Raw genomic sequence first — 12,571 nt, 5'->3', positions numbered from 1 at the left:
TTGAGTTTCTTCCAGGGACCTAGCTAGCCTGGAGAAGTATATAAGGAATTTGATAAGCAAGAAGGTGATAATAGCTCAAAATAATAGGCAAGGAAGTTAGAAACTAAAGATAACTAACGTCCCTGAATTGTTTTGCTGAAACCTGGATCCACACCAAATGGGTCCACTGGCACATAGACCTCAGATAAAGGGGTGCTAAGGACTAAACTCTGACCACTTATGTTCTTTGTTCTACATTTTTTCCTGAAGGGCCTGGAGGAAGCCACATCCAGGAGCCACAAGCTAAAGTTCTTTTCTGCCCACCCCAAATTTTTAAACAAAGCTTCTCTTTTTTAACCAACTGCAAATCAGAAGAACTTTAAATCTAAATATGACCTTAGGCCAAACACTGTGTAACCTCTATGTATTGATCTATGATTTTGCCTGTAACTTCTGCCTTCCTGAAATTTACACTTGCTCTTAAAAAACCCTCATCTTCAAGCCATTGGGGAAGTTGGGACTAAAGCCTGAACCGCCTGATTCTCCTTTCTTGGTGCCCTGCAAATAAATGCCTTCCTTTCTCCTGCTGCAAACCTTGGCCCGGTGAGCCTACGCCAGTTTAGTTTGATAACATCATAGGCTCAGGGACTGATTCTGAGGGAATAAAACCAAAGTTACCACTACTAAAGTCCAGCCTGCCAGCCAGAAAATGAAGGAGAGTAAAAGTGGGAAAAATACCTATATTTGACTGAGAATTTACTCCACAGAGCCTGCATTTTTTTTTTCTTTTTCCTTCTTCTTTTTCTTTTTAGACAGAGTTTTGCTCTTGTCACCCTGGCTGTAGTGCAATGGTGCGATCTCAGCTCACTGCAACCTCTGCCTCCTGGGTTCAAGCAATTCTCCTACCTCAGCCTCCTGAGTAGCTGGGATTACAGGCACCTGCCACCATGCCAGGCTAACTTTTGTATTTTTAGTAGAGACGGGGTTCCACCATGTTGGCCAAGTTGGTCTCAAACTCCTGACCTCAGGTGATCCACCTGCCTTGGCCTCCCAAAGTGCTGGGATTACAGGCATGAGCCGCTGCGCCAGGCTGAGCCTGCATTTTTTATTAGAAATACTTACATTACCTTGACTTGGCAAGAGTACATTTTCTACATTTGAGAATAAACGTGGTCTTGAGAAGCCACGTAAAATAGAAATCAATCTTTCCACCCGTGATATTGTAGCTGGCACAACTTCTATGTGCAATTCTATGATTATATGGCTTGTTACTGATAAACTACATTTTCTATTTAATAATTTAAGTAAGAATATCCAAAAGAGATAAATATAAAAGGAAGTGTAAAGTAATTGACAATTACTATTTTATAAAAGGTAAAAAGGATAATCTAATGGCATGTGGGCAGGAGTTTAATAAAGATAAGAAATGGGCAAAAGCTCTCTACTGTTTCTTTTTGTTCACTAATCTCCCTCCATGCAAGTGTATGCAGGGAAAGTTTCTAATAAGGAGAACAAAGTTAACTGAAGTTTACTTCTTGTGAATGCTTTCTATAAAAAAAAATTTTTATTTCATGAAGTCTCAGTATTTTACAAATCAAACTAGACCCACAAAGAAATATATAATTTATGATTATACACAAATTATAAAATAACCTAAAGATACTATAGCATTTGCAGAAAGGTAGAAAAGATGACTTCTCCAAAATAATCATTGTAAAACCCACCATTATTTTTCTGTCCACAAGGAACACTCCCATCTCTCTAAGAAACAAATTGCGTTACTGCTGGAGCTGATAAAATATCAGTGGAAACAACTCTATCAAGCTTCCTATTATAAACTATCATTCTAGGCTTTATAGCTTGGCTCTTTCAAACTAAAGTATGTTGGGCAGAGACTAAGCATACAAATTTCCAGCCAAAATACATTAAGTCTGGTTGAGCTGTCTTTTTTTGGAAGATGCAAATTGGAGCATTGTGCTCTGCATGCAGTTAGTGCTTGGCATGGGGCTGCAAGAATGCCTCTCATAGTGTGACAAAATAAAATAAAATAAAATAAAATAAAAAATGAAAAACTTTTCAGTGGGAAATTTTAAAACAGATTGGTTATTATTTCAAAATGTACAAATTTTAAGTAGTTACATTTAAGGTGAATTTTAGTTCATGAAAATAATATTTTAACATCACATAATATAATCTACATAATACTTTTCATCCAAGTTCATGGGAAATGGTCCATTTGATGGTTTTATTGATAACTAAACCATTTGAAGGAATCATTGACTCATAGTAGCATCTATGATTACAGCCTTCTGTGGTGACTGAGGGAAAATGGCTTAGATTAGCAGATATTTTATTCAAATAGCTGTGCTTATGAGTTTTGCTTCAGAGATGCAGGAATAGTATCAAAAATTTAACCCAAAATAGTTCTGGACATATCAGAAAGTGTAAGTTTTGGCTTCTGGGTATTCTGTATCTATAAATCCCTTTTTTTAAGTTCATGGAGTTTGGTCTCTTCTTCTGTGCTTCTTTTGCACTGAAACATTAGCATAGTAATGGGATATTATAGCAAAATGTTATTGTTCTGAGGCAGTAGTCAGTTCACCCAAGTTATTCCACTCAGTTGATGACCTAGTCCCTTCAAAATTACTTTGAAACTTGCTGGTTCTTCCTTCATTCAAGAATATTTATTGAGTTTCTATGATATGCCAGGCACTGTGAAGATAAGAGAAAGATAAACAAGGTTCCTGTCTTTGTGGAGTTTACACAAAGAGTTTGCGATGTTATTAGTAACACTGCTATTAGGTTGTCAGAGGGCTTCAGGAAACTGAAGAGCAATACTAGAAAATATAAATTGGTATACTCAAGTGGAAAAAATGTTTTACTCATTCTTGCTTCATTTAAAATTTTTATATTAACACAATAATAATATTAATTTTTAAAAATAAACACAACCTTCTTTTACACAATCTATACCTTTTCATGACTGTAGAAAACTTTTTTTAAAAAACATTGACTATCAATTCTTTGTTTTTTTGATAATAGCTCGTGAGTATAATGTTTCCTTAAATAGAGAACTAACTGAACTTTCTCCTTCCTTTAACTCTGTATTTTGGAACTTCATGATAAATCTTTTTCTCCACTAGTTAATAATGATATTGACTGCAAAAATCAATAAACATGAAAAGTAATGACCTCTAGTAATTTACTTTTATTAAATCTGCAGAGAGTTTTGATATCATTTACTCTGCAACTCAGTCGCTGATTTTATTTTATTTTACTTTTTCTAACTGGTACATTGCTTTGTTCTCAGGTGGAAAAGGAAGAGGAAAGCACGGCAAAATTCAACTAATGCATCATTTTGACACATCTGTTGTTTGGTCAGTGGTGTGCAGTCTCCCATTTCTGATATAATAAATGTTTACGGTATTTCTATTTTAATGAATGCCCTAGGCTCCAGAACCTGTTTGTATACTTCCGTAGCATATATCTTTAGTGAGGAGATGGTGTTGTCTGTTTCAACTAATAGAAAGTAAAACTGAATGGAAAAATTAGGTTTGAGAGCCGCTGCCTCAATGCAACCTTCCCAGGGAATCAATACAGAGCTGCGGGGAGCGTCCGGAGGCCAAAGTGGCAGCAATTGGGTCAATTAAAGGAAGTGAGCGCAAGTTTCAAAGGAAAACAGACGTTCATTTTCAGCAGGTTAGTTTGTTTCAATAACCAATCATTTTCTCCTTTATTTCATAAGAATGAATGGGAGTTTTCTCAAAGAAAATCTCAGAATATAGAACCTCATCCCCTTGACGTCTCAATGTCTCTGAAAAAATGGCATGATTAGATGTCATGTTTGACAAAGTAAATACATAACACAAAGTAGATGGTCGGGGTTGCAATAAAAGCAAAAATAGACAAAGGAAATTACATCAAACCGAAAAGCTTCTGCACTGCAAAGAAAATAATTAACAGAGTAAAGAGACAATCTAAAGATTGGGAGAAAATATTTTAGCCATACATTTGATAAGGGGTAATCATACAAGATATATAAGAAACTCACATAACTCAACAGCAAAGAAACAAGAAACACAATTTTAATATGACAAGGGGCCTGAATAGACATTCCTCAGAAGAAGATATCCAAATGGCCAGCAGATCTATTTTTAAAATGCTCAACATGGTTGATCATTTGAAAAATGTAAATTAAAACCATGAAGAGAGATCATCTCACACCTGTCAGACTGGGTTTTATAAAAAAGACAAAAGATAACAAGGGTCAGTGAAATGCTGGGAAAAGGGAACACTTGTATACAACTAGTGAAAATGTAAACTAGTACAGATCTCACGGGAAACTATATGGAATTTCCTCAGAAATACCTAATGTTAATGACGAGTTGATGGGTGCAGCAAACCAACATGACACATGTATACCTATGTAACAAACCTGTACGTTGTGCACATGTACCCCAGAACTTAAAGTATAATAATAATAAACTAAAATTTGAATTACCATATGATTTAACAAGCTCACTTCTGGGTACGTGCCCAAAAGATTTAAAATCAATATATCAAAGAAATATCTGCAATCCCATGTTTATTGCAACATCATCCACAACAGCCAAGTTGTGGAATCAACTCAATTATGCAATCAATCAATTCAATTGATTGAAATCAACTCAATCAATTATGGAATCAAATGTCCATCAATGAATGAAATGATTATAAAAATGTGGTATATATACACTATGAAATAGTATTCTGCCTTAAAAAAGAAGAAAATTATGCTATTTGCAAGACATGGATGGTATTGCAGAACATTATACTAAATGAGATAAGCTGGCACAATAAGACAGACAGCACAAGTTCTCACTTACATCTAAACAATCTAAAACAATCAAACTCATAGAAGCAGAGAGTACAATAGTGATTACAGAGACAGAGGCGTGACCAGGGGAATGAGGACAAGATGGTCAAAGTGTACCATATCTCAGTTACATGGGAGGAATTTGTTTAGTTTTTCTTTTTTCTTTTTTTTTTTTAGTTCTATTGTACAGTGTGCAATAATTAAACTTTAATGTGAATTTCCAAATGACCTACACTTGGTTTATGAACTGCCTATAAATATGGAGATATTTTCTATTAAAGAAAACATGAAATATCAGTTCACATGCCTAAAAAGGAACAGTAGTTTTGCATCTCACATAATAGCCCTTTTTCTATAAATACCAAAGTATGTATGGAGTGTTTGGAAAGCATTTAATACTATGTTGAACATGAAATTATTTTTAAATCAGGCATTTGACCCTTTAAAAAAATCTCAAAATGTCAGAACCTGACTTATAATGTTTATGATATTGTTTTTAAATTAAATTAGCAAAAACTGAGAAGACTTTAGGGAAATTTTATATTGATTTTTAAATATATAAATTCTCAAACACTGCAATTAACAGGTTATATTTTTCCACGTAAATATGGACAAATTTTGTGGAGCTCCTTTTGCATTAGAATAGAATTCAGACCCACCTGCTCCACTGTACAAAGCCAAAGCTGGCCTTATATAAGCTTGTCTCTTAGGCGCACAGTGCTCTACTGTATTACAGTGAAGATGAAAGAAAGTATGGCAGATTAAACATTGTTTCAAGCATATTCTAATCAAACACTGAAAGTTTTTGTATGATATCAAAAAGAATATATTAAATGAAGGTAAAATGTCAGCTAATTAGTATATATCATGAACAATGAAAAGCCAAAATTATATAAGAATAAAATAGCCACATTTAAATTACAGTTGGTGATACACAGCACAGGCTGGCATACTTGACATGGGTTTTACATTTTTTTCATCCAATAACTATCTATGTGCACCCACTGAAATATATTGTATAGAAAAAGTAATTGAAATATAATTTTGTAGATCTTGATACTTTATAGAAAAGAAGAAGGCTTATGTAATTCTGTAGCTCAAATAGATATTTTAAGTCATGCAAACAAAGTTTTCTGGGTATGCCTTATTATTTGAAATTATCACAATTTCAAAGGCAAGTGTCTGAGGTTACAATTGTTTAAACTCTATTACAAAGGATTAATAACTCTAGAGAGTCTAATAAATCAATTACAATGAAAAAAGCAAAATTAAAATCATCTCTTTCCCAGTGTTATACAATTGTGACACTTCTCAGCATTTACAGGCATATATTAGAATACAATTTGTTGAATAGTAGTACAATATAATCATTATAGAACTTTGGTGGCCTGATGTTACTTTCATTTTTGTTTCCCTAAGTCTGTTGATTTTTCTCTATGTGAAAGGCATATATCTGAAGATAAAATTGACATTCTCGGGGTAAGCTAGAATTCTGTTTTCTTAATGCTTCTCACTACATGCTGGAAATATAACACCAAAAATATAAACAAATGATAGTACGCATTTTTCAATTTCTCTTTAAAGTGCCATGTATTTATAAGGGCATTCGTAATGGCAACAACCACAATTACTTTTGCACCAACCTAATATTATTTTAATGTTCAATGGATAACAATAGTCAATATATGACCATTTTATCAATAGTGACTTTGTATTAATAGGAAGTGCCCAGAAGGAATTTTAGGCGACTGAGTAACTAAAATATGGTAGAATGTTAAAATTGGGTGAGACTAAGAATTGACCTTTTCTTACCTCTTAATTTTGTGCATGGAGAATCTGAATGTTTTGGTTAAGATCCTAGAGATCTTAACCAAACTCCTAAGAGCTAAGTGGGAAGCTCAACTTTCATCTTCATCTTTTTCCTTCCTTACACTGTTTCCTAATACAGAGGTTGTGATTCTGGTTTAAAGTAGACTAACAAATCTCTTTAAAGCTTACTCTCATGTCTACAGAGAATAGTTATATTTCTCTATTTAATATGCATGCCATAAACTTGTGACATTTAAAGCGAACATTTAAATGGAACAGAAAATGAAATAAGGGCCTGCTTGTAATCATGGCTGAAAGGCCATACCTTTCAAAATTGAAGATATCTTTGCATTTAAAACTTTACTAGTATTTGGTGAAAATCTTCAACAAAGAGTAGGTAGAGAACACTTTGCCTTATGTTAGATAATACTATTTCCTGTATTTCCAGAAATTTTCCTGGAATATTTATACACTAAACAAATGTTTGTGGAAACTAGTAACTGTTCTATTTATTTAACATTTGTAACCCGTATTCTAATCCTATAAATAAAACCTTTAAAAGATGAAAAAGTATAGCTGTGGTTATATATCATTATGTATTCATATATGCACACGCACATGTGTGTATACATGTGAGTAAATAAATGCATATGATCCATAGCTCACAGTGCTGAGAAATGTGACCATCTTTTAATAAAGTCTGGCCTCTTCCAATATTGAAGCTTGTATCATATCTTATCAGTTTTCCCTACCTTTAATTGCTGGTTTCCACTTTTAACCCTCTCTGTGCCATGGCCTTAAATAATACGAATGGTAATAATAAAAACACACACACAAAAGGAATCCATTTGAATTATATGAACTTTATGAAGAAGATACTGTATAAAGAGATTACATTTCAGAGATTTTAATCAAAGCCGAGTTTGTCAGAGAGCATTCTCCTGAGGAAGAAATGATTGTACAAAAGCCAAAATAATTGCTAGTTAACTCAGTGAGAGTGTGCGCAGAAGGAAACAAGCTTTGCAAAGCCCTGATGATGAGAAAGGGCGGGACATATTTTTAAAATAGGCCAAAGTGTTGTGTGGCTGAAAGGTAATGACCAACAAAGACGGTGACTCATTATCAGTCTGGAAAGGTGCCAAAAGCCAGATTTTGGAGAGTCTGTAACACTGTGTTTCAAATTTTAAATTGTTTTCTATTGAATTCATTGAATAGTTTTATGCATCACAATAATTACCTTTTTTTTTTTTTTTTTTTTTTTTTTTACTGTTAAAGATTGCTCGGATAGAACAAGGTAAAAACTTGGAGCAGTGCCAAAAGTTGATGTAATCAGTGAGCAGAAGTCTGAGTGACATGAGTTGGCTATCAGAATAGTCAGAGAAAGACAGAAAGAAAGAGAGAGATGAGTTAAGGAAGGTGGCAGCAGTGGGAGAAGAAGTGAAAACATTTTTGAGTTGTTTTGTATATTTTTTTTAAAAAAAGCAGATTTTTCCAGATAATAAAAAGAAACCATCAAAGATAACTGAGGATTTCGCTTGTGAAACTAAATAGACGGGGTGCCATATGCCAAAATAGGGAACACAGAAAAGGGAGCAGCTTGTGAGGGAATATGAAAAGTTTGAATATACAAGTTTGAAGTGCTATAAAACGTTTAAGTAGACTTGCTTAATGAGCAATTGGATATATGATTATGTCTGGGTCTCATAAGAGAAGTCTAGGCTGGAAATACAAGTTATGGAGTTAAAGGCTTATTTTTATGTGCCATATACAGTTTAGAAACATCAAGGTCAGTATCTCATTAGTCATAACAATGTGATAGGCACTATCATTTTATTTACTTACAATTGCAGGTGTAAATAGTTTAAATAAAATTTCCAATATCACAAATTCAATTAGTAGCAGAGTTTACCAAAACTCATAGGGCTTAAAGCAAAATTTGTTATTATTATACTTCATTGTTTTGGGATTAAGAGTTGGAATAGGGCATACTGGAGAAAATGTGTCTTTACCTAAAATGTTCAGGGTATCAGTGCTATTAATTGAATGGCTGAGGACTGGAGCAGCTGGAAGGTGGCTGAATACCCCTTGCTTTCTACACATGACCTTTTCAAGTGGCTTTCCAAGAGGTCAGTCTTGGCTTTTTACAGTACAATAGTTATATTTCTTAACTGGAGTTGAGTAATCCAAGAGAAAGAATCTGTCAACTGCCAGTCCTCTTTAAAGCTAAACTTGGAAATGGCATAACCTCATTTTCCACTGCATTTTATTTGTGGAAGTACTCACGGGCTAGACCAGAGTCAAGGAGAGGATACAAAAACTTCACATCTCAATGAGAAGAGTGCTAATGTATTTGCGGCCGTCTTTCATCCACCACACTTACACCTGTGACACTTTATAATTACTCCTTGCTACTATCAAGTTATACAAAGTACACCTGTAGCAAAGGGCCAGGCATACCATAAGTAATCAATGTGTTTATTTAATGAAATAGTTCTAATGTAGGCAATTATAGTTTTGTTAATCATAAAAAAGCCTTTAAATCATTTCAGATGCTCTGTCATTTTGCCTAAACGGACTAAGATATTTAGGATATAATCACAGGTCTGTACTGTTGAATTCCTCTAGCAGTGGATTACAAATGTCTGTAAATTATTTATGCTAAGGTTCACAATGAACAGTCTTTCAGATTCAGCTTAAAATTTCTAATTTTAAATATGTTTTAAAATATTCTCAATGACTGCATTAGATCAGCATGTAGAATTTTTTCTTAATATAATTGATAGCTTGTTGCCCACTGAATGTTAAAACACTCAGCAATAAGATGATTTCAAAGAAAAGGTAAAATGCTGCCTTTGAAAAAGAGCAAACTCCATGCAAAGAATAACGCCATTTTAAGTAAACCACTTTCCTTGCTATTGTGAGTGTCAAAGTTCTGATTCATAGGGATCAATAAACCAAATAGAAAATGTTCCCAACTCATGCAATCATCAACATCATGTAAAATTATGAGATGGCTGTGATTAGCAATCTAAAATAAAAAAACAATTAGACATTAGGCTTCAATTTTCCTTTCATCCCTCAGAACTTTTAATAATGCCATTGTGAACTATTTAGTTAAGTTCTTTATAAATGATTGTATAAACAATGAAAATTATTGTTGTATCAGCAATATAATATGTAATAACACTCAACCAATTAAGACAAATGATATTGTAGGTATTATAATTGTCTTGTACAGAATTATATTGTGCAGTTGCAAGTCATCAATAGATATATGACATTAATAGTTTAATTATTCTAAGATAATAACAAATAATTATGATCAAAGTGTGAAAGCAATGCATGCAAAGAAACAATGGGAATTGCAGTTGGAATCCTGGCTCTTCCAGTTTGTCACCTAACCTTGAAAAATCAGTTAGCCTCTTTAAGTATCAATTTTATCAGCTGTAAATTGAAGATACTGTTTTCATGTTGAAGCGTCATCGTAAGAATTAATCAAAATGATGTATTCAAATAACATATTAGACCATCAATAGTCAGTTATTATTTTTATAATTATTAGTCATCATTAATGGCATGGTAGAAATTGAACCAGTAAGCAAATTGTTTTTCTCACAAGTATTTATTTTGGAGCATCTGAAAGAGGGTAACTCTGTTACATGATGTTTAAAAAAGGAACATATGCTATGAAAAATGAAGTCTTAGGAAAAAGGAAGCAAAAAGTAAAAAGCATAAAAGTGGCATAAAAAAACAAAGTTCTTTGCATATTACAAAAGAGTAAAACTGAGAAAAAAATAAGAACAAACAGAAATATTAGAATAGTTGAGAAAAATCTTTCCAGATAAATACCTTTAATACCAGTCTAAAATTTATTTTGTAAGTATTTAAATTGTTGGTTATTGATACACAAAATGTCTTTCATAGCGTGATCCAGAAAGTGCAATGATTATTAATATGCTATTTTTAGTCTCCATTTTATTCTCATTTCCATTGCGCCATTGTTATAGAAAACCAGGCATCCCAGGGACCTTGTTTTTGTGTTTCTTTCAAAGTATGTTGCACACTATAATTGATGAAATTACTATTTCATAAGCATATGTTTTCCATAGGACTAACATTTTTGTTTGTTCGTTTAATCAAATTTATATGGATTGCAATATTTTTATCATTTAAATGCAAAGTAAATTTTTTTTTTGCCCTGAAGTTGTCTTTCTCACAGCGAAAGTAAGCATATAAATTAACTTCATCTTAATGAAATTACACTGGAATAAAATATGTTAACATTAGAGGCAATCAAGTCATTTTAATATAATGAGTTGTCCTGAGGTTTATCCCTTTATAGGTACTGACAATTGCATGTTAACCTTATGCTATTGGTTAATCTTCTTAACCTTAGTTTAAACATTTTGCCCATCTGCTCAGGCAGATTCCCCACTCCCCTTTTCTTCTGCACTTTTGACTGGGAGTCTCCAGAGGCTGTTTTTACTTCTCAGGTCTCATGTGTTCCTCTTGGAAAATTTTTGCAGCTGCACTGTTATGAACTGTCCTTTGTAGATTCCTGCTTTCTCTCCATAACTCATTCCTGACTGTCCCCTACTAGAGAAGCTACATAATGGTGGGAATCTCCCCATGGTGACAGCTGCTAATATAGCCAATGCTTCTGGCAAAATACACAAATATATAACCTAGTTTTCTACCCTCACCATTTGTCTGCTGGACATCAAAGAATGTTATTTTTCTCATTATACTTTTAAGACTTCCTCTTTAAAAAGCTTCTCAGCTTCTGTCATTTTTCTTTACTTTCTAGGCTGAAGAACAAATATCAAGAAGTCTGAAAATGTAAAATATACCACATTGAAAATTTTTTTTGGGTTACATACAAAAGTTTGCGGTTTACACCAAACAAACTTAATTGCCAGTTAAACAAACAAAAAAGTCAACACTCCTTGGGAGAATATAACAGAATCAACAATACAAAATTCACAATATCAATGATATTATGCAAAATTAGTTGAAATGAAGAACAAAAGAAATATGACCCATGATCAGTAGATAGAACAATTAGTGGAGCCTGATCATGAAATATCCTGGTGTCAAAATGAAGCGAAAAGGATTATAAAGCAGCTGTTATAACCAAGCCCAGTGGCATCAGGGAAATACGCTTGTAGTGAATAATAAAAAAGAATATCTCAGCAGAGAAAGATCTAGATTCTCTTGGACAGTGCCAATGCCAATGTTTTCAGGGCCAGCTACTTCTTCTATGAATCCATTTTATGTTCTATTTGAATTTCACTTCCGGCATTATCACTTTCTATTTCCTTGTTGCTCTTTCATCTTTCTTGGCCAACTCTCTTTCACTTATCCATTTAAAAATATATCACATGGATTCATAACTGGGAGACAAGGAAGCAACATAACTGCAGGCTTTGCTGACTGTTTGTGAATTGAATAACAAATGACCGGTGACCAACCACCAACAGACTTTGAAGACAGTGATGGGGCTGGTAACGGATCGTGATGCATATCTATTATTTAATGTATTAATTTGTGGACTAAAGAGCTAGCAGCAAAGATTTACTTCACATAATTACTCTCAGTTTTGAATTTGAATTTTGAATTTTGTTGTTGGGGGTTTGGTATTATTTAACGAAACAATAGTTACTGAAATTTACATATATCAGAACTGAGCAAAGCAAGGACAATGTGTATATATTAAACTGGAAGATAGAATATATAAACTCTCTTTAGCAAATTGGCCTTGCGTTGAAGAAAAGACAATCTATTTAAAAGAGAAGAAAAAAATACTTAAAACTCTCACAAATACCGATGTTTAGGATTATATTAAAAAGTTAAGTCTAGAATTAAAATGCCAGGAAAAATATGTGTGTATATCAGGAAAAAACAAGAGAAAGAGTGTTTCAAGGGAGA

At 33.3% G+C, this 12,571-nt stretch overlaps 1 protein-coding gene across 2 annotated transcripts in view; it reads right to left on the bottom strand.

The window, feature by feature from the left end:
- The window catches only part of GALNTL6 (polypeptide N-acetylgalactosaminyltransferase like 6), a 1,228,156-nt gene that overhangs the window by 990,787 nt on the left and 224,798 nt on the right, over positions 1–12,571 (bottom strand). The gene's annotated exons all lie outside the window — the stretch shown is intronic.

The sequence above is a fragment of the Homo sapiens genome, chromosome 4 (genome assembly GCF_000001405.40).
Source record: "Homo sapiens chromosome 4, GRCh38.p14 Primary Assembly".
NCBI classification, from domain to species: domain Eukaryota; kingdom Metazoa; phylum Chordata; class Mammalia; order Primates; family Hominidae; genus Homo; species Homo sapiens.
This window is presented reverse-complemented; position numbering and strand designations above follow the sequence as displayed.